We start from the raw sequence: 26,020 nt of genomic DNA, 5'->3' as shown, positions 1-26,020 counted from the left end.
GTGACCCCTTATATTCTTGGTGAGTGTCACTGGATTTGTAGAACAGGCCTGACCATAGACTATAGCCTCACTACTATAAGCTATAGAGGTATGGCCACAGGAGTCTGCTAGGCTTGCTCCACAGCCTCAGGCCTTCCCTCTTCAGCGGGTGCTCTCCTCTCCCCAGGGGGGGCTGTCCCCCACCCTCACTTTGGGGCTTGTTCATAGCACTTCTCATCAGCATTTAAGGAGACATCAGTCTATCCCTCAAGGACCTTTTTCTCCAAGAACAGCCATTTCCACCACACCACCACCCTGTCTCTACAAAAAATTCCTTTTTAAGTATATTCTGGTCATAAGGCCTCCTCCTGTAAATTAGAGGTAAGGGCCTACTGTCCCTTTAAAAATACAAATTACTAGGTCAGGCACAGTGGCTCATGCCTGTAATCCCAGCACTGTAGCAGGCCGAGGCGGGCAGATCTCTTGAACTCATAAGTTCCAGACCAGCCTGGGCACATGGTGAAACCCTGTCTCTACAAAAAATACAAAAATTAGCCAGGTGTGGTAGTGCACGCTGGTAGTCCCAGCTACTCAGGAAGCCGAGGTGGGAGGATGGCTTGGGCCCGGGAGGCAGAGGTTATAGTGAGCCGAGATCGTGCCACCACACTCTAGTATGGGTGACAGACTGAGATGCTCTCCCAAAAAAAAAAAAAAAAAGGAGAACACAAAATAAATAAAAATATAAATTATTATTTTTATAGTAATACATGCTCACTAAAAAAAACCCACAAAACTGTATAAAAAAGATAAAATAACCTATAAACCCCAACCCAGAAGCAACTATTATTAACATCTTATTAGCAGAATTCTGCTTATTTCTTCTATGAATGCTTTTGCATTTCTTAGATCAGCTATAATATGATTTTGGATTCTACATTTCTCTCTGTTATTAAAAACTATGTGTCAGCATTTTCCTGGCTGCCCAATATCCCACTGTATACATAGATCATTCCCAAATTGTTGGACATGCAGGTTGATTCTGATTCAATATTCATAAACATTTTTAAGGCTCTTGATTTTTATTGTCACTTTGCTTTCCAGAAAGCTATACCAATTCACACTTCCCCAGCGGCGGGTGAAAGTGTAGATGTGGACTCCAATTTGACTCCCTTTCTATTAGTTTATAAAAGAGGTTTGCCTGGAAGGCCCAGCTGATCGCAGTGATATGAGACCACTTGTGTAGCTATTGGTATAATTGAAAAATGACCCAAGTGCCTTGTCGTTTTAGTTTTTCGAAATGTTGCCTATGATTCCCTTCCTCTTCAGGGTGAGACCAACAGGATTATAGCCTCCCACACTATGAACAAAAACTCTTCCAGATCACACTGCATTTTCACCATCTACTTAGAGGTAGGTGCAAGCTCTTTGATCAGCCCAGGCGGGGCAGTCAATTCCCACGGGGCCTGCTCAGTCAGAAACTTCTCCCTGTGACAGTCTAACTTCTGCTTGGATGTTTTGTAGGCCCATTCCCGGACCTTATCAGAGGAAAAGTACATCACTTCCAAAATTAACTTGGTGGATCTGGCAGGCTCAGAGAGGCTGGGGAAGTCTGGGGTAAGTGATGGGGGCTGGAGGTTGCTACTCAATAAACCACAAGCCCTTTTTCTGGCACAGTGCCTGCACATCTGGGCCATGACTCATTGGATATTTGTGAACACAGTCCTGAGCTAGGCGAAGTGGGACATGTGGGCTTGCTGGAGGGACAGGATTTGCAAAAAGGGAACGGCTATTACCTGGGGGCGGTTCCTACCTCAGAGGATTTTTGTAAACATTAAATGAGATAGTGCCCTCTACATTCTTAGCAAAGTGCCTGGCACTCAGTGCTCAGTAAATATTCCTTGCTGGTATAGCATTTCTCTGTGTGTGTTTTTGTTGTTGTTGTTTTGAGACACAGTCTCGCCGTGTCTCCCAGGCTGGGGTACAGTAGCACAAATACAGCTCACTGCAGCCTTGACCTCCCAGGCTCAAGTGATCATCCCACTTCAGTGTCTCAAGTATCTGGGACCACAGGTATGCACCACCATGACCAGCTAATTTTTAAATTTTTTTGTAGAGACGGGGTCTCGCTATGTTGCCAAGGCTGAACTTGAACTCCTGGGCTCAAGCGATCCTCCTGCTTTGGCCTCCCAAAGTGCTGGGATTACAAGTGTGAGCCACCACACCTGGCTTCTTTGTGAATGAATATGAGTATTCGTATGAGTATTTGCATGAGTATTTCAAATAAATATTTGTATGAGTGTATTAGCAGAAGTATTAACAAGAGTATTCAGATGAGCATTTGTATGTGCATTCATGAGTGTTTGTGTGAATATTCACAGGATTCTTTGCTCAAATATCTAGACAAGTATTTCAGTACATATTCATATTAGTGTGAATCTTTGAGTGAATGTCCATATGAATATTCATGTAAGCATTCACATTCGCATGAGTATTCACATGAGTGTTCACATGAATATTTCTGAGTTTTGGTATTACCATTATTAGCCCAAGATGGAATACAATCGCATGACATTGAAAGAAGACCCTGGTTCTGGGAAGGAGGCGCTGACCTGACCACAGACTTATAGCATTTCTCCAGACCAGGAAGACTGCTATTCTTAGTGGGGCAGCTGCTTTATTCCATCCAAAGTGGAACTGACCTTTGCTTTGTAGTCTGAGGGCCAAGTCCTGAAGGAAGCCACCTACATCAACAAATCGCTCTCATTCCTGGAGCAGGCCATCATTGCCCTTGGGGACCAGAAGCGGGACCACATCCCCTTTCGGCAGTGCAAGCTCACCCACGCTCTGAAGGACTCGTTAGGTGAGGGGGTACAGTTGCTGCCCAGGGAGGAGGGTCTGTGTCTTTGGGGAGGGACAGGTTTGGCACATCTGCCACTGGTGATGATAGAATTGCTCCCTCCTGGTGGCATGGATTCACCTGCAGCACATTCACAGTGACTTCAGACACCTGGAAAGGCAGAATCAAGCACTGTGCCCAGAACACACTATGCTATTCACTCCTCAGAACCTTCCTTAGGCTTTTTACCTGTGCTAGGAATACCTTCTCTTTTCCTCTTGTCCTGAGGAGACAGCTGGCAGAATCCTTCACAGCCTGAAGACTTGGGGCGAGGGCCTCTCTCCCATGGTGTCTTCCCTTCCCCTGCAGCCTCCTGTACAGAGCAGCGGGGGCTTTGTCTTATCATCCCCATAGCCCTAGGCCTTTGTGTTGAGCCTGACAACACAGTCACTAGTGTCTGATTGTTAACTGAGTGCCACCCTGAGCAAAGCTCCAACTCATACCTCCCTCTCCTGTCCCTGCCCCTCCCTGCCCTGTATCATCTCTCCTCTGCTGTTTTCTCCTGGATCCTCTTTTAGGTACATGTGGTGGCCTCTCTTTCTCTCTTCCCCTTACCTCCCAGCCTCACAGATGTGTGTGTCCTCTCTGACCCTGTCTCAGTTCAGGCTGCTATAAGAAAATACCATAAACTAAGTGGCTTAAACAATAGACATTTATTTCACATAGTTCTGGAGACTGGAAGGTTCAAGATTCAAGTGCCAGCAGATTCAATGCCTAGCGAGGGCCCTCCTCCTGGCTTGCAGATGGCTACCTTCTCGCGTATCCTCACATGGAAAGAAAGAGAGGGTTCTGGTCTCTTTCCTTATAAGGACACTAACCCCATCATGGGGGCCCCACCCTCTGACTTCAACTAAACCAAATTACCTCCCCCTCCCCAAGTCCTCCATCCAGATGCCATCACGTCGGGGTTACAACTTCAACATATGAATTTTATAAGGACAAAAACATTCAGTCTTGACCAGGTGTGGTGGCTCACACCTGTAATCCCAGCATTTTGGGAGGCTGAGACAGGAGGATCGCTTGAGGCCAGGAGTTCAAGACCAGCCTGGGCAACATAGCAAGACCTCATCTCTACTAAAAACAAAAAAAATTAGCCAGGTGTGGTAGTGTGCACCTGTGGTGCGAGCTACTTGGGAGGCTGAGGCAAGAGGATCACTTGAGCCCAGGAGACTGAGGCTGCAGTGAGCTGTGATTGTGTCACTGCACTACAGCCTGGGTGACATAGTGAGACCCTGTTTCAAAAAAACAAATAAAAAGCATTCAGTATATAACAGACCCCATCAACTCCTTTGGAGCAGAAAAAACACATGGTTCATAGCCCTTCTGTGTCTTGCTTTCCGCAGGGGGAAACTGCAATATGGTCCTCGTGACAAACATCTATGGAGAAGCTGCCCAGTTAGAAGAAACGGTATGTAAAGACAGTCAGTGAAACCAGGCTGGAATCCCCCTTCATGGGTGCCAGGGCAGGGTAAGGCTCCAGGCTGGCTACCCTGGCACAGTGGCCATAGACATTGTCAAGAGTGGAAGGATCCAGGGGTGAGTCTGAGCCACAGTTGCTGAGGGGGCCCAGAGCTAGGATCCACACACCAAGCACTAAGCTGTGCGGAGGAAAAGGGCCAGCCAGCAGGCAGGCTCAGCATGGGAGACTGTGTGAGGAGGGAGGCTGAGAGCCAGCTTTGTGAAGACAAGGACCATGTTTCCTGGGGTGCTGCTCCTGGAATTGGGATCAAGAAGGATCGTTGGTGACTTGTTCTTTATAATCACACATGTTTAAACATCTTGAAAACCCCACAGGGTTCCAGGCTGTGGTTATAAGGCCAGTATGAGCAGATGGTATTAAGCACCTGCCATGTGCACCATGGTAAGCAGGAGTAACCTGGTAGAAATTAGTCTTAAATGCCCTTGGGCCTCAGCATCCTCAACCCAGAAAGAGAGAGAAGCCATGGTCCTAAGTAACGTGAGGCCCAGAGGGAGGAGACCTTCAGAGGAGGCCAGGATGGGGGTGATGGGGAACTTTTCCTGAAGCTGGAGTAGGGAAAGATGGGCACTGAGCTGGCTGGGGTTAAAGGATGGGTGGTAGGATAAGCAGAGGTATTCCTGGCAGAGGTAATAGTGGGACTGAAGATGTGACCCACACCAGGAACATCTATCTACTGCGGGGGGTGGGGGCTCTCAGCAAGAAGAAGAAAAGAAATCACAGGGGCTGAATCGGCTCTGGTGTCCTGGCTGAGGCCTTGGCTGTTTTCCTGCAGGTGGCTGGAGCTGTCACAGGGTTTGAGTAGGGGAGGGCTGTGGCCAGAGGTGGGATTAGTCAGGGAGATTATCCAAGTGGCAGGACACAGGTGGCCTGGGGAAGGGAGAAGCTTGTGAGAATTAGAGGCAGGAATAAAGGTCTAGCCCAGTGACACAGGTGAGTCCACACAGCTGAGCACCTCCAGCTTGGGGCTTTCCCAACCTTCCTCTGAAGTGCCACCCATCATAAATAAGACAGATTAGGGGCCGGGCGTGGTGGTTCACGCCTGTAATCCCAGCACTTTGGGAGGCTGAAGCGGGTGGATCACCTGAGGTCAGGAGTTCAAGACCAGCCTGACCAACATAGTGAAACCCTATCTACTAAAAATACAAAAATTAGCTAGGCATGGTGGTGCATGCCTGTGGTCCCAGCTACTCGGGAGGCTGAGACAGGAGAATCGCTTGAACCTGGGAGGCAGAGGTTGTAGTGAGCTGAGATTGCACCACTGCACTCCAGCCTGGGTGACAGAGTGAGATGTCTCAAAAAAACAAAACAAAAAAACCCCACAAAAGACAGATTAGGAAAGCTATCATTAGACATTTTACTTTTCAAGTGTGGATGTTTAAGGCAAGCTTCAGTCACCTGGAGAATCTACTTAGGAGAAACAGATTATTTCCAAAGATGCTTCAGGGCAAGACATGCCTGCAGGGTCTCGCAGCTGTGTGCATTAGGGACTGTCCCAGCTTCCAAGGAGAGTGCTCCTGTCGTACATCCAGCACCCTGGGACTTGGGAGGCAGGGGAGGAGAGCTCCAGCTGACGTGCAGGCAGCATCCCCAGAGGAAGGCTTCTGGAACTTCTTGGTCTCATGGCATAAAATGCATGGTTGAGGCCAGGTGTAATGGCTCATGCCTGTAATCCGAGCACTTTGGGAGGCTGAGGTGGGCAGATCACTCCTTGAGGTAAGGAGTTTGAGACCAGCCTGGCCAACATGGTGAAACGCTGTCTCTAGTAAAAACATAAAAATTAGCAGAGTGTGGTGGCGGGCGCCTGTAATCCCAGCTACTTGGGAGGCTGAGACAGGAGAACCCTGGAGGCAGAGGTTGTAGTGAGCGGAGATTGGGCCACTGAACTCCAACCTGGGTGACAGAGCAAGACTCCATCTCAAAAGAAAAGAAAAAAAAAAAACAAAAAAACCCCGCATGGTTGAACCCAAGAAGAGCCATAAGAAATGGGCCTCCTGGCTGCCTTGTTAACAAAGATGCCCTCCAAGACAGTAGAAGCTCCCTGTCTCCCTTTATCCCCACCTCCTGTGATGGTTACAGCTCAGGAAACAACTCCTGGTACCCGCAGTCTCCGGGGGCTTGTGCCCATATACCACTTGGGTTCTCTGCCCAGGACGGAACCCAGAGCTCAGAGGAGCTGTTGGAGGGGTCTCAGGGGTTTGGGACAAAGGTATATTGGGGGTATGGAAGCTAATGATTGTCTCTTCCAAATGTGTTGAAACTTTAAAACTATTCTCATCATGGATTGTATTGCTTTATGCAGTGACACTGTACATGTGTGCTGAGTAACCACAGGGATGGGACATGGCCATACTTGCGGCTGTACTTGGAGTAGGAGAGTCTGACTTGGCCCTGCATAGAAGCAACACCACCTGTAATGACAGAGACGTCTTCTTGAGGGCTCGCTGTGAGCCAGCTCTGTACAGAGCGCATATACACCTTATCAAGGCAGCTCTCCCTTCACCTTACAGAGAAGATGTGAGATCTGTCAGTGGTCCTGCAGGGGGTCAGTGGCTGAGCTCTGAGCCACCAGAGTAGACTGCCCAAGGAAGAGCCCTTTCAGTCTTTCCTCTGGCCCACTTAGGGGCCAGCCACTCCTAGACTGCTTCCTCATTTCAGGATCATTCATTGAGAGATGAGACAGCCCAGCATGGCCTGAGGCAAGAATCTCTGGGCCTGCCTCCTGAGGCCCCTGGCTGTTCGTCACTGCCAAGGAGGAGCTCTCCACCCCTCAGCTAACATCCAAGCAATGAGGCATGGCATCTGGGCCTGCTCCCATAGCTGCCTCATAGGCCTCCAGCCATAATTATCCTTGGCTGGCTCCCCCTCCAGAGAGACTCTGCTGCGACCCCCCAGGCATCACTCTTAGTGTCCCGGGGACCCCAGAGTCCATTTTGGAGCATGCTTCTATGCAGAGATTTATCTTTCCTAGTGGTCTCATTTTACCTATTTTGCAAATAATCTCTATTCACAAGCAATGGGCCAAAGACACAGAGGCCAGTCAGCACACACACACACATTTTAGACCTCTGCTGAGTTGAATTTTTGGCCTTGTTACTGAGTAGCAAAGGCTAACGAACATTCCAATGCTTCCCTCCTTTCAGGTTCAACATTTACCAAACACCTACCACTTGCTGGCCTTACCTGAGAAACTGATTCCCCAGGCCCATGATTCCTCAAGGCCTTTCTCAGTTCCACTGCCAGTACCACTGAGCCTCCTCCCAGAGCACCCTGTCATTGTCTCAGTCCACCTGAGATGTTGACCTGGCTCTCGCCTCCCTCACACTTGGGGCGTACTGTCCCTCCATCAGGATGCACTTATCCCTTCCCCATCACCTGGCAAACTACTCCTCTGGCCCCTCCCAGGCCCCACCCAGGCACTAGGATGGGTTTCCTATTGGTCCTGCTCCCAGCTGTGAAGAGCACAGACTTGGGAGCTGGAGTGCCTGAGTTGAATTCCTGTGTGGCCACAGACCAGCTCTGTGGCCATGGGTGGGTGCCTTGACCTCCCTGTTTTTCAGTGTCCTCGTCTATAAAACTGGGTTGATGATACGTCTACCTTACAGGAAGTTGCGAGGATTAAATGAGCAACCACACTTCTACACTTAGAACAGAGCCTGGCCACAGCAAGCGCTGTGGAAGGGTTGGCCCTATCATAACTTGGCATGAGCTTACCTGTAGGGGTGGGTTGCCCCTACACACCTGTGGGTGTTTCTCGTAAGGTGGGACGAGAGATTTGGAAAAGAAAAAGACACAGATACAAAGTATAGAGAAAGAAATAAGGGGACCTGGGGAACCAGCGTTCAGCATATGGAGGATCCCGCCAGCCTCTGAGTTCCCTTAGTATTTATTGATCATCTGTGGGTGTTTCTCGAAGAGGGGGATGTGTCAGGGTCACAAGACAATTGTGGGGAGAGGGTCAGCAGACAAACACGTGAACAAAGGTCTTTGCATCATAGACAATGTAAAGGATTAAGTGCTGTGCTTTTAGATATGCATACACATAAACATCTCAATGCTTTACAAAGCAGTATTGCTGCCCGCAGGTCCCACCTCCAGCCCTAAGGCGGTTTTTCCCTATCTCAGTAGATGAAGCATACAATCGGGTTTTATACCGAGACATTCCATTGCCCAGGGACAGGCAGGAGACAGATGCCTTCCTCTTGTCTCAACTGCAAGAGGCATTCCTTCCTCTTTTACTAATCCTCCTCAGCACAGACCCTTTACGGGTGTCGGGCTGGGGGACGGTCAGGTCTTTCCCTTCCCACGAGGCCATATTTCAGACTATCACATGGGGAGAAACCTTGGACAATACCTGGCTTTCCTAGGCAGAGGTCCCTGCGGCCTTCCGCAGTTTTTGTGTCCCTGGGTACTTGAGATTAGGGAGTGGTGATGACTCTTAAGGAGCATGCTGCCTTCAAGCATCTGTTTAAAAAAGCACATCTTGCACCGCCCTTAATCCATTTAACTCTGAGTTGACACAGCACACGTTTCAGAGAGCACGGGGTTGGGGGTAAGGTTATAGATTAACAGAATCTCAAGGCAGAAGAATTTTTCTTAGTACATAACAAAATGGAGTCTCCTATGTCTACTTCTTTCTACACAGACACAGTAACAATCTGATCTCTCTTGCTTTTCCCCACACTTACCTACCCATTATCTGCCCCTTCTCTCACAGAATGAAGGGCTGAGCAAGCTGAGGCCACTCTGGGAGGTCCAGGCCCCAGATGTTGGATGCAGGGTTAGACATGATAGCCATAAGCCTTGCTGAAGGGAGGCTGAGAGAGCCCAGTACGCCTCCTGTCCTGACATGGCCTTGTGGCTTGGCAGCAGAGAGGTCCCTGAGGGAAGTGTATACAGGGGACAAAACTGGTAGGAGCCCATCTCTGTGCTGGCAGTGAAGCCTTTCAGCCCAAACCTGTGGAGACTCCCTGTGGATGGTGGGGAGGACACTTGACTAAGGCTGGTGGGCAGAGTCCAGGCTTCATTAACAGATCGGTCACGCCCCAGAGCAGCCTTTCTTAGCATGTGTGGCTAGAGGCCCCTGCCTCCAAATGCAGCAGAACTACCCATTCCCACCCAGACTGCTGAGTCTATTCATCAGGGGGCCTGAGCATCTGCCCTCCCAGGAATGGCTCAGGGGTGTCTTCACAGGGTAAAGTTTGAGCAGACGCTGCTCAGGGGCTAGACCTGCACTGGCCACTATGGCAGCCACTGGCCACATGTAGCTATGGAGCACTCAGATGTGGCTGGTCCTGACTGACATATAATGCAAGTGTAAAATGCACACCAGATTTCAAAGACCCAGCACCAAAAAAGAAGGTGTATTAGTCCATTCTCACACCTGAGACTGGGTACTTTATAAAGAAAAGAGGTTTAATTGGCTCATGGTTCCACAGGCTGTACAGGAAGCATGGCAGCATCTGCTTTGGGGGCGGCCTCAGGGAGCTTTTACTCATGGTGGAAGGCAAAGCAGGAGAAGACGTCTTACATGGCAGGAGCAGGAGGAAGAAAGTGAGGGGCAGGGAGGTGCCATATGTTTAAATGACCAGATCTCATAAGAACTCACTCACTACCATGAGAACAGCACCAAAGGGGAAGTCCATCCCCATGATCCAATCATCTCCCACCAGGCCCCACCTCCAGCATTGGGGATTATATTTCAACATGAGATTTGGGTGGGGACAGAGATCCAAACCATGTCAGATGGTAAAATATCTCAATAATTTAAAAATGTTGATTACATGTTGAATTTATAACATTTTGGGGCCAGGTTCAGTGGCTCACACCTGTAGCCCCAGCTACTTAGGAGGCTGAGGTGGGAGGATTGCCTGAACCCAGAAGGTAGAGGCTGCAGTGAGCTATGACTGTGCCACTGCACTCCAACCTGGATGACAGAGCAAGACCCTGTCTTAAAAGAACAAAACAAAACAAACAAAACCCCACAAACAAACCATAATATTTTTGATATCTTGGGTTAAAATTTAAATAAAACATATTAAAATTATTTTTACCTGCTTCTTTTTAGCTTTTCTTACATGGTTACTAGAAAATATAAAATTACATGTATGGCTTACATTTGTAGTTTGCATTGTATCTCTGTTGGACATGGCTGATCGAGACCCTGAAAACTGCGTGAAGGAGGGGGATCACTGTGGTTTGTGGAAGGGGCAGAAACGTTTCATGTGAAGGAAAACCAGGAGGGCTTCAGGAAGGAAGCTGATTTTCAGCTGAGCCTTGGAGAGAGAGTGGAACGCAGGAAGGCAGACAGCATAGGAGGACAGAAAAGGGTACTCCAGGCAGGGGGTCACCTGAGCAGAGGCCTAGAGATAGAAAGTGGTCAGGTTTGGATGAATAGACCAGTGCGCATCCTCACAGTCTACATGACGAGGACCAGGCTGCTGGATGTGCCCTCTGTCACCTTCCTGCTCTTCTCATGGGGACCTCATACCCAAGAACTCTTTTGACCAATGTCCTCTGGGGGAAGGGAACCAACATGGGTTGACAAGGGAGCTTAAGGAGCCAGGAAAGGGCAGGCAAGGTCTCTGAGAAGGCCGGTCTCTTGGGGTCTCACTTTAGTGGCGAGCCATCTAATGTCTACCTGCTCTGTTTTGCAGCTATCTTCACTGAGATTTGCCAGCAGGATGAAGCTAGTCACCACTGAGCCTGCCATCAATGAAAAGTATGATGCTGAGGTACAGCAGGGGTTGTGGACAGGTGTCCCACTGTGGGGAAAGTGTATGGGTTTGCTGCTTGGGTCACACAAGCGAGCCTTCCCTTCCTGCCTCAACCAAAGATCCCCATGCAGCCCTGGGTCAGCCCTTTTCCACTCCTGGACTGGCCAGAGTCTTCAGAGTCCCTGGAGACCCTTAGGGGCTGTCATGGGGTAAAAGGGCTAGGTCAGGCCACCAACAAGTTCACATGTGAGGCCTAAAGAACTTATTAGAAATGGGATAGAAGCCGACCTTAAGATGAAGAAAAATTTTTTTTTTTTTGCCAGTCAATAATTTTTTTTAAAATTAATTAATTTATTTTTTTATTGATCATTCTTGGGTGTTTCTCACAGAGGGGGATTTGGCAGGGTCATAGGACCATAGTGGAGGGAAGGTGAGCAGATAAACAAGTGAACAAAGGTCTCTGGTTTTCCTAGGCAGAGGACCCTCTGGCCTTCCGCAGTGTTTGTGTCTCCGGGTACTTGAGATTAGGGAGTGGTGATGACTCTTAAAGAGCATGCTGCCTTCAAGCATCTGTTTAACAAAGCACATCTTGCACCGCCCTTAATCCATTTAACCCTGAGTGGACACAGCACATGTTTCAGAGAGCACAGGGTTGGGGGCAAGGTCACAGATCAACAGGATCCCAAGGCAGAAGAACTTTTCTTAGCACAGAACAAAATGAAAGGTCTCCCATGTCTACCTCCTTCTACACAGACATGGCAACCATCCGACTTCTCAATCCTTTCCCCACCCTTCCCCCCTTTCTACTCCACAAAACTGCCACTGTCATCATGGCCCGTTCCCAATGAGCCGCTGGGCACACCTCCCAGACGGGGTGGTGGCCGGGCAGAGGGGCTCCTCACTTCCCAGCAGGGGCGGCCGGGCAGAGGCGCCCCTCCCCTCCCGGACAGGGCGGCCGGCCGGGCGGGGGGCCGACCCCCCCACCTCCCTCCCAGACGGGGCGGCTGGCCTGGCGGGGGCTGACCCCCACCTCCCTCCCGGACGGGGTGGCTGCCGGGCGGAGATGCTCCTCACTTCCCAGATGGGGTGGCTGCCGGGCGGAGGGGCTCCTCACTTCTCAGACGGGGCGGTTGCCAGGCAGAGGGTCTCCTCACTTCTCAGATGGGGCGGCCGGGCAGAGATGCTCCTCACTTCCTAGATGGGATGGCGGCCGGGCAGAGACGCTCCTCACTTTCCAGACTGGGCAGCCAGGCAGAGGGGCTCCTCACATCCCAGACGATGGGCGGCCACGCAGAGACGCTCCTCACTTCCCAGACGGGGTGGCGGCCAAGCAGAGGCTGCAATCTCGGCCTTTTGGGAGGCCAAGGCAGGCGGCTGGGAGGTGGAAGTTGTAGCGAGCCGAGATCACGCCACTGCACTCCAGCCTGGGCACCATTGAGCACTGAGTGAACGAGACTCCGTCTGCAATCCCGGCACCTCGGGAGGCCGGGGCTGGCGGATCACTCGCGGTTAGGAGCTGGAGACCAGCCCGGCCAACACAGCGAAACCCCGTCTCCACCAAAAAAATAGGAAAACCAGTCAGGTGTGGTGGCGCGCGCCCGCAATCACAGGCACTCGGCAGGCTGAGGCAGGAGAATCAGGCAGGGAGGTTGCAGTGAGCCGAGATGGCAGCAGTACAGTCCAGCTTCGGCTCGGCATCAGAGGGAGACCGTGGAAAGAGAGGGAGAGGGAGACCGTGGGGAGAGGGAGACCGTGGGGAGAGGGAGAGGGAGAGGGAGAGCGAAGAAAATTTTTTAAAAAGAAAGAAAAGAAAAAGGGCATCTTCAGGCTCTACCCTAGACTGGCAGAATCAGAAACTCTGGGAATGGATCTAGTGACCTGTAGTTCAACATCAGTCAGGTGATTCTGATGCCTTGTCACATTTGAGAACTGCTGCTCTAAGCTCCACTCCCTCCCCAGTCTCCAAACCATGGGTTAGTTCTACAAACTCTGGGTGCTCTAGGCTTCTACATGAGATTTCCTTAGAGCTAAGGGCTAAAGTGTGGACCATCTTTCAGAATCACCTCGCTATGTCACTACAGAATCTCTTTCGTCCCAGTAAACAGCTGGCCAATCAGAGGGAGTGCTCAGCATCACCATTAACAAGGGAAATACAAATTAAAACCTCTTTGGAATTCTACCCTTAAATTAGCAAAAACTAGAATGTTTTTGACAACACAAAATGATGATGAGAATGTGGAGAAATGGAAACTCTTGTCCACTTCTGGTCAAAGTGTAATTGATACAACCACTTTGGGGAGCATTCTGGCAACATCTGGTGTAGTAAAAACACATTTATTGTTAATTTGGCTTTCCTCTAAGATGCTCATGGAATCATAGCTCATGGAGAAAGGAGCATTTGTAAGCCCTAAGCTCGACAAACCAGTTAAACTTTTCAGATTCTAAATCCTGAAGGAAAATGACAGTCCCTGTGGCTCTGTAGAACTAACCCATGGTTTGGAGACTGGGGAGGGAGTGGAGCTTAGAGCAGCGGTTCTCAAATGTGACAAGGCATCAGAATCACCTGACTGATGTTGAACCACAGGTCACTAGATCCATTCCCAGAGTTTCTGATTCTGCTGGTCTAGGGTGGGGCCTGAAGATGCCCTTTTTTTTCTTTCTTTTTTAAAAATTTCATCTTAAGGTCGGCTTCTATCCCATTTCTAATAAGTTCTTTAGGCCCTTTTATGACACTGAGGCCTCCTCTCTTGAGGTCACACTTGAGAACCACTGGCATCCTAGTTAAGGCCATGGTGACTGGATTGGGCTCTCCTGGGTTTAGCACCCTGCTCTTTCCTCCATTAGCTGTATATAGCCTTAGCAAAATACCTACACTTTTTTGTGTGTGTGTGTGAGACAATCTCCCTATGTCACCCAGGCTGGAGTGTAGTGGCACGATCTCTGCTCACTGCAACCTCTACCTCCCAGGTTCAAGCCATTCTTCTGCCTCAGCCTCCCAAGTAGCTGGGATTACAGGCACATGCTACCATGCCCAGCTAATTTTTGTTTTTTGAGATGGAGTCTCACCCAGGCTGGAGTGCAGTGGTGCGATCTCAGCTCACTGCAACCTCTCCCTCCCAGGCTCAAGCTATTCTCTTGCCTCAGCCTCCCAAGTAGCTGGGACTACAGGCGCACACCATCACACCCAGCTAATTTTTGTATTTTTAGTAGAGACAGGGTTTCACCATGTTGGCCAGGCTGGTCTCAAACTCCTGACCTCAGGTGATCTGCCCGCCTTGGCCTCCCAGAGTGCTGGCATTACAGGAGTGAGCCACCACACCTGGCCAAAATACCTACACTTTCTAAGGCTCAGTTTCTTCATTTGTAAGTTGGGTAGATAACACAATCCATGCTCAAAGAGATCTTGTGAAGAATGAGATAATGTGTAGAAACCTCTTAGCATAGTGCTGTCATGGGGTAAATGTTCAATAAATGTTGTTTAGCACTCCTCTCCCTTCTACAGAGCAGCAGTATTGCTTCTAGGTATATATAGTCTAGAGACATTCTCACATGTGTGAGAGACTATAGGTCACTATTAAAACAAGCACTGTGAGCACCATTCTTCTATAGAGTCTATAAGTCTCTTTATAGACTTATTGTAATAAGGATTAAATAGTGACTCTTTATAGTACTTACTATAATAGCAAAAAATTAGAAACATAATATCCTTTAACAGGGGAGTAGCTAAGTGAGTTGTGGGATGAGGGAGCCAGAGCTAGAGCTACCTGCATGGATAAATCTCAAGTGAGAAAAAGACTAGATGCCTGAAGTGGCCCAAACGACAGTCTCTATTATTTACACCACATATAAAAACATGCAGAGAGATGCTGATATCATTGATGGATATATGTGTGTGCAGTAAAAGAAAAAATGCATGGGAGTGAAAAAACCAGACTGAGGCCAGAGGTTTCCTTTTGGGATGGGAGGGGAGTGGATTTGTAGCATGGTATGCAGAAGCTTCACATTTATCTGAAATGTTTTACTTCTTAAAAAAAAAAAAATCACTGGGCCGGGTGCGTGGCTCATGCCTGTAATCCCAGCACTTTGGGAGGCTGAGGCAGGCGGGTCACTTGAGGCCAGGAGTGCGAGACCAGCCTGGACAACATGGAGAACCCCATCTCTACTAAAAAATGTAAAAATTAGCTCAGTGTAGTGGTGCATGCCTGTAATCCTAGCTACTCGGGAGGCTGAGGCACAAGAATCGCTTGTGCCTGAGGGGCAGTGGTTGCAATGAGTGGAGATCATGCCATTGCACTCCAGCCTGGGCAATAGAGGGAGAATCTGTCTAAACAAACAACAACAAAAAAACCACCCCTGAAGCCAATGTGACAGCAGGCTATTAAAGTCACATTTTGGGGCGGTTTGCCCAGGTTTTATGGCATTATTTTGTATGGTTTTCTGCTTTTCTGTATTCTTGAAGATTTTCTTATCTTTTTTTTTTTAGATGGAGTCTAGCTCTGTCGCCCAGGCTGGAGTGCTGGAGTGCAGTGGCACAATGTCGGCTCACTGCAACCTCCACCTCCCAGGTTCAAGCGATTCTCCTGCCTCAGCCTCCTAAGTAGCTGGGATTACAGGCACCTGCCACCACCCCCAGCTAATTTATGTATTTTTAGTAGAGACGGGGTTTCATTGTGTTGGCCAGGCTGGTCTCAAACTCCTGACCTCGTGAGCCTCCAGCCTCAGCCTCCCAAAGGGCTGGGATTGCAAGCATGAGCCAACATGCTTGGCCTTCTTATCTTTTCTTATTTGGTGTTCCCTTAGCTTAGGATTATCAACATTGCTACCCGTGAACCTGGCTGGGTGGACGTTGTACCTGTCTTGAAGGTTTTTCATGCCCCTATTTTTTATTTTTTATTATTGTTTTTTAGACAGGGTCTTGCTTTGTCACCCAAGCTGGAGTGCAGTGGTGCTGTCATGGCTCACTGCAGCCTCAACTGCCTGGGCTCAAGCAATTCTCCCACCTCAGCCTCCCAAGTAGCTGGGACCACAGGCCTGCGCCACCACGCCTGACTTAATTTTTTTTTTTTTCCTCTAGTGATGGGGTCTCCCTATGTTGCCCAGGGTGGTCTTGAGCTCCTGGGCTCAGGGGGTCCTCTTAGCCTTCCAAAGTGCTGGGATTACAGGTGTGAGCCACCACGCCTGGTGAAGTTGGACAATCATGCTTTTTCATGTAATTTGTGTTCTAAGATCTGCATTGTTGGCCTTGGCCAACTGAGTGAGTCTCTGTGCCATCCAGTGTGAATGTGTTTATAATCTTTCTGATAAGCATTTTTCTTTACAAACATGAGTTCTTGAGAGAGATGTGGAAAAATTATTTTGGTTGCTGCCTTTCCTAGACTGTAGCCAGTATTCTCAGGTCATTTTCAGCACTGTCTTCGGTATTGATGCCTGTTTTCAAGAGGGTAGAATTGCTTCTTCAGAATTTCTTTGGCTGATGGGGCTGGCTATAAGGCAGAAGACTGGGTTCCTAATCCACCTCTTCCACAAGCTCTCTGTGGCGAGTTGCTCAGACCCTCTCAACCTCAGGGTCGTCCTCTGTGAACAAGGAAGTTGGCCTGATAACCTGCAGTGACCCTCCCACTCTGCCAGTCGGTGATTCTGTGAAGTGGTGTAAAGGGCTGTGAGCCTCAGGCATAAACAGACAGCAGGGAGAGACTTAGTATACTCCACTCTGCCAAGAGAAGATACACTGGCAAGCTGCAGTGGGATGAAAATCGGAAAACTGCCTGCCCCAAGAGCTGCCCCACAGCCTGATGTGCAGCTTAAGCAGAATTCTCTGAATTATCCTCATTACATTTATAATGAAAATGCCTATTAGGAAACTTACATGAGTCTGTGCTGTTTCCAAGGCATTTTTTTCCTATCTAAAAAATGTCCCTGTTTGTTGTTGTTGTTTTTGAGACAGGGTCTCACTCTGTTGCCCAGGCTGGAGTGCAGTGGTGCAATCTTGGCTCACTGTAACCTCTGCCTCCCGGGTTCAAGCCATTCTCCTGCCTCAGCCTGCTGAGTAGCTGGGATTACAAGCATGTGCCACCGCACCCAGCTATTTTTTATTTTTAGTAGAGATGGGGTTTCACCATGTTGGCCAGGCTGGTCTTGAACTCCTGACCTCAAGTGATCTGCCCGCCTTGACCTCCTAAAGTGCTGGGATTACAGGCATGTGCCACTGCACCCAGCCTCCTACATCACCTTCTGATTGGCCCAGACATGTAAGTTTGGCTCTGCTGTGCCTCACTGAACAGAGTCATCAAGCTGGAGGACCCTGATGGCTCAGTCGAACTTTCTGTAGCTGGGCCATGATACATTTTCTAGAGCTGGGAGAAGGATGGCATGTGGACAGGTGAGACTGGCCAGCAAGCCTCTCCTGTTGACCCCACAGGAAGTCCACACCTGAAGGGGACCTTTGTGGGGCTTCCAGAGGGGCAGATCCAGGATCTGGACACTGGTCACATGCCTTGGGTCCCAGGCTTTGTGCCTGAATTGCCACAGAGCCATCAGGATGCCAGGGGTTCTGTTGACCCTTGCTATGTGAGGGCAGTTGGGCCTCAGTGCCCAGGTGACCTGGTTGGATGAGGGCTAGAATACAGCAGGCCTTTGGTCTGGGAGAGGGCCAGTGGGGCAGTGGACTGGTCACAGTTTTGGTCACCAGTCCCAGGATCCAGGTGTCAGGGGCTCCCTCCAGTGGCCCTTTTATGACAACTAAAGGAAGTCCTATTGTTCACAGCGAGGGTTCTCAGCTTGAAGTTCCTTGTGCCTCTTTTAGGGAAGACACTCAGATGGTATATCGAGTATAAAATGACTTAGCGATTCTTCTCCTCAAAATGTGTCATTTATGATCCTTTTGTAGTTCATGAGTGTGATGATTGTGTGTTCATACGCTTGTGTGAGATGTGCCACCCTTGAACCTTGTTACGACATTGGCACATTACCCGTCTGATCTGAAAAAAAAAGTATCATTTATTTACTTACCTAAAATCTATGGAGTGCTTACTATGTGCCAAGTGCTTTTTAAAGCACTTGGAATACCTGACTGCATGAACAGAAACACAAATCTCTGAGCTTGCAGTCTGATGGGAATAGGGGAGATACATAATAATAATCACAATAAATAGGTAAGTTCTAAAGTTTCACTGTTTAATACGGTAACTGCTACTCAAATGTGGCTATTTAATTAAAATTAGAATTACTTCTTCAGGCACCCTAGCCACATTTCAAGTGTTCAGTAGCTGTATTTGTCTCATCATTACCATACCGGGCAGCACAAATATGGAACATTTCAATAATTGCAGAAAGTGCTATTGGACAGCACTAATCTAGAATATGTTAAAAGGCAAAATGTGCTATGAAAAAAAATTAGAGATTTTTAAAGCATGTTGCAGGGGTGGAGAAGGTATTACAATTTTTTTTTTTTTTGAGACAGTGACTCGCTCTATTGCTCAGGCTGGAGTGCAATGGTGCGGTCTCAGCTTACTGCAACCTCTGTCTCCCGGGTTCAAGCAATTCTCCTGCCTTAGCCTCTCTAGTAGTTGGGATTACAGGCGCATGCCACCATGCTTGGCCAATTTTTGTAATTTTTGTAGAGACAAGGTTTCACAAGGGTGGTCTCGAACTCCTGACCTCAGATGATCCACCTGCCTTGGCCTCCCTAAGTACTGGAATTGCAGGGATGAGCCACCGCACCTGGCTGGAATTACAATTTTAAAGAGTAATTGTGGTGCACCTAATTTAGAAGCTTTTGAACAAAGATTATCAGGAGGTAAGTGAATGAGTCTTGGAAATACTTAGGAGAAGAGAATTCCAGGGCAGCGGACAAGCAATGCAGAGGCAGAAGCATACCAATTTGTGGAAGTGTTTGGAGTGCACCAGAGAAGAGAAGCAGAAAAGAGGTAATGGGGGCAGATCTCAAAAGCCTCATAGATCACTGTGTTATTCTACAGAAATCTATGAGGACATAAATATATGAGTACAAAAATGTTCTTGCAGCATTGTTTGTAAGCAGCAAAAAATTAGAGGTGAGGCCAGGCACAGTGACTCACGCTTGTAATCCCTGCACTTTGGGAGGCTGAGGCGGGCAGATCACCTGAGGTCAAGAGTTCGAGACCAGCCTGGCCAACATGGTAAAACCCCATCTCTACTAAAAATACAAAAATTAGCCGGGCGTGGTGGCACATGCCTATAATCCCAGCTGCTCAGGAGGCTGAGGCAGGAGAATTACATGAACCCGGGAGGCAGAGGTTGCGGTGAGCCAAGATTGCGCCACTGTACTCCAGCCTGGGCGACAGAGCGAGACCCCATCTCAAAAAAAAAAAAAAATTAGAGGTGACATACATGATTATTATTGGGGAGTGGTGACATGTTCATGCAGTGGTTGGTGAGGATGAGGGTGAAAGGATGAGGTTATAACCATGCATAGAAAGCATCCTGGAGGCCAGGCACAGTGGCTCACATCTGTAATCCCAGCCCTTTGGGAGGCCGAGGCGAGAGGATTGCCTGAGCCCAGGAGTGTGATACCAGCATGGGCAACATAGTAGGACCCCTGTCTCTACAAAAATTAGCTGGGCATGGCAGTGTGTACCTGTAGCATGACCTACTCAGGAGGCTGAGGTGAGAGGATTGCTTGAGCCCAGGAGGTTGAGGCTTCAGTGAGCCATGATGGTGACACTGCACTCCAGCCTGGAGGACAGAGCAAGAGCCTTTCTCTAAAAAGAAAGCATTCTGGTGCTGGGTATGGTGGCTCATGCCTGTAATCCTAGCACTGTGAGAGGCTGAGGTGGGTGCATCACCTGAGGTCCGGAGTTCGAGACCAGCCTGGCCAACATGGTGAAAACCTGTCTCTACTAAAATTATAAAAATTAGCCAGGTGTGGTGGCGGTCACCTGTAATCCCAGCTACTCAGGAGGCTGAGCCAAGAGAATCACTTGAACCCGGGAGGCGGAGGTTGCAGTGAGCTGAGACCATGCCATTGCACTCCAGCCCGGGCGACAAGAGCAAAACTCTGTCTCAAAAAAAAAAGAAAGCATTCTGGAGTCTGTAGGCTGCACCAAAAGGGCCATTATCCTGGTAGACTGGAAGGAGCCTGGGGCCCCTGGGAGTTGGGGTTTGAGGTGGCTGTGTGGCTTGTGCTGTCTCTTCTACTGGCAGTAGCAAAGGCCAGGGGACTGTTCAGGTCCTCCCAGACCCTAAACTCACCCCAGTTAGGGAAGAGTCACCAGTCGGGAGGGAATCACCAGAAGCTGAAAGCATACCCTGTGGATCCAGGAATGGCCAGGATGTCTGGGCACAGAATGAGGAATTGTACTTTTGCTGTGGAAGAGACAGGGTAGCTTCTCTGATGATCCTTCCTGTCGGCCCCCACCCTACCATGTTTCCCGGCAGAGAATGGTCAAGAACCTGGAGAAGGAACTAGCACTACTCAAGCAGGAGCTGGCTATCCATGACAGCCTGGTAAGAGGCTAGAGGCAAAGAAGGAGGGCAGAGGTGCTGGGGTAGGGGGTGACTAGAGGGACTGGGGCTAGGGGCAGACAGCATCATGGGTCAAGGCCAATGGTGGGCGGGGTTGGGGGGCAGGCTCAGTGGCAGGAAAGGGGCAGCAGCAAGGGTCCATGAGGACAGGGGTTGGGAGCAGAGTCCTCCAACGGTCCTGAGGGGCCTCGAGGCAGAGGCAGCGCATGCCTCCCGTCCTCGCCTTTCTCATGCTGCAGAGTCTGCTGGGACTCAGCCAGCAGAGCCTCTGTCTGGAGTAGCAGGACCCATGTCTGAGGGTCTTTCCTTTCCTCCCCGACCCCATTATCCCTCTCTGACCCAAGCACCTGGCCTGTTGTGTCAGGCCCTCTGGCAGGACCCGATGATGAAGGGAAGGAGCCAGCTTGGGCAGCCAGGGCCTGTGCCCAGCCTCCCCACTTTGCCTCTCAGAATGGCCCCTGCCACTCCCCTGTGGGCTCAGGTTCTTGTTGCTTATCCACATGTTCTTCATCCTCCTTCAAGACCAACCGCACCTTTGTGACCTATGACCCCATGGATGAAATCCAGATTGCTGAGATCAACTCCCAGGTGCGGAGGTACCTGGAGGGGACACTGGACGAGATCGACGTAAGGAACCCCTCTGTGACCACTATGCTCAGCCAGCCTGGGCCTCCCAGTCCTGGGCACACCCCAACGCATGCTCTGCTGGCCTCAGAGCCTCATGTGAATGGGTGCAGTGGGTGGAGGGTGGTGCTGGACTCTTGATGTCAGGGTCCCTTCAGCTCATCTCAGGGGCACAAGCACAGGCCCTAGAGCCAGGCTTTCTAGGATTGAATCCCAGCTCAGCTGCCTCTTTGCTGAGTGACCTTGGCAAAATACTCAACCTCGTGTACTTCAGTGGCCTCACCTGCCTAGTGGGGAGGGAAACAGAGTGGGGATTAACTGAGCTGCTGCACCTGGGGTGCTTGACTGTGTCCGCAGAATGAAGCTGATGAAGGATGGTGGTCATGCTGGTTGTCTACAAGGTAGACCCCAGGGCCCATGTTGGAGTGGGCCAAGGAGGGGGAAACCACCCCACAAGGAAGGGTCCTCAGGGGGAAGGCTGCATCCTGTTTTCACAGTGCAGTCCATCAAACCCCTCTTCTTGGAGACATGGGCAGACCCCCCTGGCTGTTACTGTGGGCAGCTCCGAGAAGCAGGCCTGGGACAACTAAGGGATGGACTCTTCTGGCCTTCACAGGAGGGGCAGTCCCAAATTAACCCTTGATCAAGGGGAATGCTGTGGGCTTTAGGCTGGGGGGAGGCCAGTAACCTTCCTCCAGCCTCGTGTGTGTGTCTGTGCCCATGCAGACAGGACCATAAATGGGCTCCATCTGAAGACAGCAGGCAGAACCTTTTGGAAGTAAGAGAAAGCTGAGAAGTACATTTTATTAAAAAAAAAAAAAAAACCTTTAGAAGGTATTTTCAAGGTATAGAATCATTTCATTTTATAGAGGTCTCCACTTCGAAAAGGTGGTTTTTATAGCCTCAGCAAATACTTAGTTTTAAAATTATTAATCAGGTGTTTCTCTGCTCTGGAGGAGGGCTTGGCTGCCACTTCGCTGAGAGGCTGTGTGCACACGTCCTCTTCTCGAGACAGATGGTCCAGGGGTCAGCCAAGGGGTCTTGATTTCTCTACTAACATAGATGCCCCCTGGTCCCTCGAGGTGCCCTTGGTCTAACCTCTGCCTTGCTGTCTTCCCTCCAGATAATCAGCCTTAGACAGATCAAGGAGGTGTTCAACCAGTTCCGGGTGGTTCTGAGGTGAGAGACCCCCACCCCTACCTCATTCCTACATCAGGCTGCCATTTTCATCTCCTGCCATCTGGGCACTTGCCTCCAAGAGCTCCTCTTCTTGCTTGTGGATGAAGAGCCAAATCAGAGTCCTTGGGGGCATGCCTGGGTCCCTGGTGGATATTCAGTGAGTTCATTAATTGGACAGGAGGTGTTTATGGAGTGCCAGCTCTGAGAGTGCCCAGAGCAGGGCATTGTGAATATTCACCTTGTGAATATTGCAACACACACTCCCACCTCAGGAGGCATTTGTGGTTTATTTGGGTGCAAACATACCCATAGTCTGAGCAGCTTATGCTAGGTGGTGTCACTAAAGCTGGTCATGTGATTCCAAGTGGCCTCTTAGAGACAGAACCTAAGACAGAACCCCACATGGTCCCAAGTGAAGCTTACGGTCCTTATCAAGTGTCATCTTGGAGCAGACACACATGACATAAGGTAGCCCTTGTGGGTATGGGGGTCGGACAGTGGGTATATGCAATGGGGCAGGGGGAAGTGAGTCCTTTGTCCTTTTGTCTGGTCTGGTTCATGATGAAGGTGTGGCCCCACACAAGGGGCCTCACCCATATGACTTTTAACCCCAGTACTTGGTTCTTGCCCCAGTGGATTCAGCATGGCCCCAGGTACAAGCTGTTCTCTCTTGCTGTCTCCCAAGCCAACAGGAACAGGAAGTGGAGTCCACTTTGCGCAGGAAGTACACCCTCATTGACAGGAATGACTTTGCAGCCATTTCTGCTATCCAGAAGGTAAGCATAGTTGCTACTTGCCGACAGCACTCACCTCAGATTTCCCATCCTCAGACCTTTGCAGAGCCAGCAAGTATTAATGCATTAAACCAGAGCTAGGATTGCAACAGATAAAGGTAACACCAGAATGAACACAGGTGACCTGTGTTAAGAGTAAACCACTTTTGAATTAAAAATAATTTCCATAAGGTAGAGACATGGATAATAATATTAAAGACGATTTCCTGGAATTAGGTTGGAAATAAGCTTTAAGATCCCCAGAGTATGGAATGAGGTGCCATACTGGTGAGGGGGTGCATGTGGAAAGTGGACATTTGGCAGAGTGGTCAGGGACCGCTCTACAGGGGACAGCCTGAGGCTGGCATCAGCAGCTGTCAAACCTTGGTGTGTATGGTGAACATGTCCACCCTGAGCCTTGGGCCATATACATGTGGGTCCCCAAGGGGTCCAAGCCCTTAATCTAACTCACAGACCTTTGGCTGGCCTCTCTATGTAGGCGGGGCTTGTGGATGTTGATGGCCACCTAGTGGGTGAGCCTGAAGGACAAAACTTTGGACTCGGAGTCGCCCCTTTCTCTACCAAACCTGGGAAGAAAGCCAAGTCCAAGAAGACATTCAAAGAGCCACTCAGGTGAGTGACCTTGCCGCTCTGCCTCCTCAGCAGCTGGCCCTCCTCGGTGGGTGCATGGGAGGATGTGCACTGTTCCCACTTTCCCCCTGGTGTCTCAGCTACTGGGTTGGCACAATGGACGTCACTGCTGCCAATACTAGCAAGTCTGTGGGGCCCGGGCTGGGGCTGGTTTGGAACCGCACAAGAATCATCTCTCGTCCTCACAGCAACCTGGTGAGGTGGGAGTTAATGTCTTCATTACACTGATGAAGAAACAGAGGCTTAGAGAGGGGAAGTCACTCACCAAGGCCATACCACCAATGAGTAGTGGAATGGCAGCAAGAAGCTGGACCAGCTCTCCAGAGCCCATGCCCTCTGGTACTTTATGTTGTACCCCCTCCCCTCACTTCACTAGGGTCTTCCCGCCGACTGGCACTCAGGTCACCTAAAACTCCAGTTCACCTTTCAGGCAAGACTCGTTTGTATGTGCAAGGTGGGAAGAGCATTTAGGTTCACTTAGTGAGCCCTCCCAGGGTGCTGTGTAGTGGTGGGTAAGAGCACAGGCTCTGGAGCTGACGCCTGGGCTCCCTTCCCTGCTCTGCACTTCTCACACCCAAGGGGTCACCCCATGTGAGACATGAGAACCGCTCTGTGCCTGTTTCTGCATCTCCAAAATGGGAATAATAATAATAGCATCCAAGTCATTGAGGTTGTTGTGAGCAAGAGTGTGTGAGCACAGGCCACAGGCCAGAGCTGATTGTAGAAAACTGTTACACGCAGGACAAGAGTCAGGCAGCAGAGGATGCCAGTGTCCCTGGCTTCCTCCTGCCTCTTCATGAGTGCAGTCACACCCCAACCCTCTCTGTTCTGCTTCCGGATAATCAGTGCAGTATTCAATGGGTTGAGGCTCAGTTCCCTGAGCCATACTCGTTGCAAGGAGGAGGAAAGAGGAAGAAACAGATTTTCTATCCTCAGACCTTTGGGAAGAGCCATGGGCATCCTCCTGCCAGTTCGGTCCTCAGATCTGCCTCTTCTCGGAGAAAGGCACCAAGCACTGTCACTTCAGCAGGGAGGACAGCTACTTTTCTGGGAGCTGGTGTGGAGAACAGGGTGTGGACCAGTAAGAACAGCAGGGCAGAGCCATCCTGCTTTACCATTGATCCACAGACAGAACCACCCTGTGTGGGGCTCTGCCAGTCCTTCCCGGGGAAGCCTGTATGACTCAGACCTCAGCAGCCGTGGTGGTTCCTGAGAACCTGTGGCCCATCCTACAGGTCCATACACTTTCAATCCCTGGAGATTGTACCCATTTTTCCCAAGCGTCTCCTGCCAAGACCACCGAGGGCTCTTTGTTCTGATAAAAGGGAGAAAAATGCCCTCTTCTTCCTCCACATCTGCCTGGCTTAGCATCACACTATTTGCGCTTTTACCTAGGCATATGAACAAGATGGGAGCTGAATGAGGTGGGGTTCCCAGTGTAGTCAGTGCTGAGAAAGGTCACTCATCCTGGCATCTGATAACTCACTGTCCATGACTGAACCCTGGGGCTTCCGTGCCTTCTTCCAGCTCCTTGGCAAGAAAGGAAGGTGCCAGCAGCCCTGTGAATGGGAAGGACTTGGATTACGTTTCCACCTCCAAGACCCAGCTGGTCCCATCCTCCAAAGATGGGGATGTCAAAGACATGCTTTCGCGGGACCGGGAAACTTCCAGCATTGAGCCCCTTCCCTCAGACTCCCCGAAGGAGGAATTACGCCCAATTAGGTAATCAGCTAATGTTAGCTTCTGCACCAGATCAAACAAAACCATATGTGATCCTCAACATGTGAAGAGTACCTGCAGATAAAAGAGAAATAAAATAAGAAATAATAGGCAAAGACTAGGAGCACAGTCCCCAAAGAAGAAACATGACTTATGCATCTGCAAAATGATCCAACCTCAGGAGTCATCCAAGATGCACAATTAAACATGGAATCATTTTAGACCCTCCAAATAGCAATTATTTAAATAATTAAAGTTATGTATCTTTTGTACAAGTACTGCATTCAAAAGATTTAAAAATTTTAAAGTATGAAAGAATATAACCTCTTCCCTTTCCTCAAATCACTCAGCCCCTCTCCCTCATGAGTTTTTAAGGATCTATCCTAAGGAAATAGATGTGAAACAAGATTTATGCAAAAGATGTTTATTTCATCATTTATTTAAAAAGCAAAATATATACATTTTTGAAAACCTTCAGTAGCCAACACTAGGGAAAGGGCACTAA

At 49.5% G+C, this 26,020-nt stretch overlaps 1 protein-coding gene, 1 long non-coding RNA gene, 1 other non-coding gene and 1 pseudogene across 18 annotated transcripts in view, besides 1 other annotated feature; 3 read left to right on the top strand and 1 right to left on the bottom strand.

Annotated features, from left to right (window-relative positions):
• Window positions 1-26,020, top strand: part of KIF9 (kinesin family member 9) — a 54,802-nt gene that overhangs the window by 14,231 nt on the left and 14,551 nt on the right. For 10 of the 16 annotated variants that reach the window (XM_006713291.4, NM_001413976.1, NM_001377474.1 and 7 more), the window contains 11 exons: window positions 1,306-1,389; window positions 1,501-1,593; window positions 2,692-2,839; window positions 4,219-4,283; window positions 11,009-11,086; window positions 20,483-20,551; window positions 21,092-21,196; window positions 22,317-22,372; window positions 23,058-23,148; window positions 23,645-23,778; window positions 25,324-25,518. In XM_006713291.4, the coding sequence (XP_006713354.1) occupies window positions 1,306-1,389; window positions 1,501-1,593; window positions 2,692-2,839; window positions 4,219-4,283; window positions 11,009-11,086; window positions 20,483-20,551; window positions 21,092-21,196; window positions 22,317-22,372; window positions 23,058-23,148; window positions 23,645-23,778; window positions 25,324-25,518 (1,118 nt within the window). Of the gene's footprint in view, window positions 1-1,305; window positions 1,390-1,500; window positions 1,594-2,691; window positions 2,840-4,218; window positions 4,284-4,669; window positions 4,737-11,008; window positions 11,087-20,482; window positions 20,552-21,091; window positions 21,197-22,316; window positions 22,373-23,057; window positions 23,149-23,644; window positions 23,779-25,323; window positions 25,519-26,020 lie in introns of those variants that run through there. The other 6 variants (XM_047448712.1, XM_005265389.5, NM_001377475.1 and 3 more) reach the window with 2 other exon arrangements.
• Window positions 7,791-8,697: an enhancer, noted in NCBI's record as "OCT4-NANOG-H3K27ac hESC enhancer chr3:47301362-47302268 (GRCh37/hg19 assembly coordinates)". NCBI's record gives its function as "activates a minimal SCP1, AML or CMV promoter by ChIP-STARR-seq in naive H9 embryonic stem cells {active_cell/tissue: H9 hESC(naive)}" and the evidence as "EXISTENCE:reporter gene assay evidence [ECO:0000049][PMID:30033119]".
• Window positions 17,943-18,044, top strand: SNORD13P3 (small nucleolar RNA, C/D box 13 pseudogene 3; annotated as a pseudogene).
• Window positions 17,960-18,052, top strand: SNORD13J (small nucleolar RNA, C/D box 13J). Its single transcript, NR_145712.1, has one exon. It is a non-coding gene; the product is annotated as a small nucleolar RNA, C/D box 13J (small nucleolar RNA).
• The window catches only part of KIF9-AS1 (KIF9 antisense RNA 1), a 79,747-nt gene continuing 78,179 nt past the window's right edge, over window positions 24,453-26,020 (bottom strand). The window contains exon 7 of the long non-coding RNA NR_033373.1: window positions 24,453-25,590. This is a non-coding gene — a long non-coding RNA (KIF9 antisense RNA 1). The remainder of the gene's footprint in view (window positions 25,591-26,020) is intronic.

Source organism: Homo sapiens, chromosome 3 (assembly GCF_000001405.40).
Source record: "Homo sapiens chromosome 3, GRCh38.p14 Primary Assembly".
NCBI lineage: Eukaryota > Metazoa > Chordata > Mammalia > Primates > Hominidae > Homo > Homo sapiens.
This window is presented reverse-complemented; position numbering and strand designations above follow the sequence as displayed.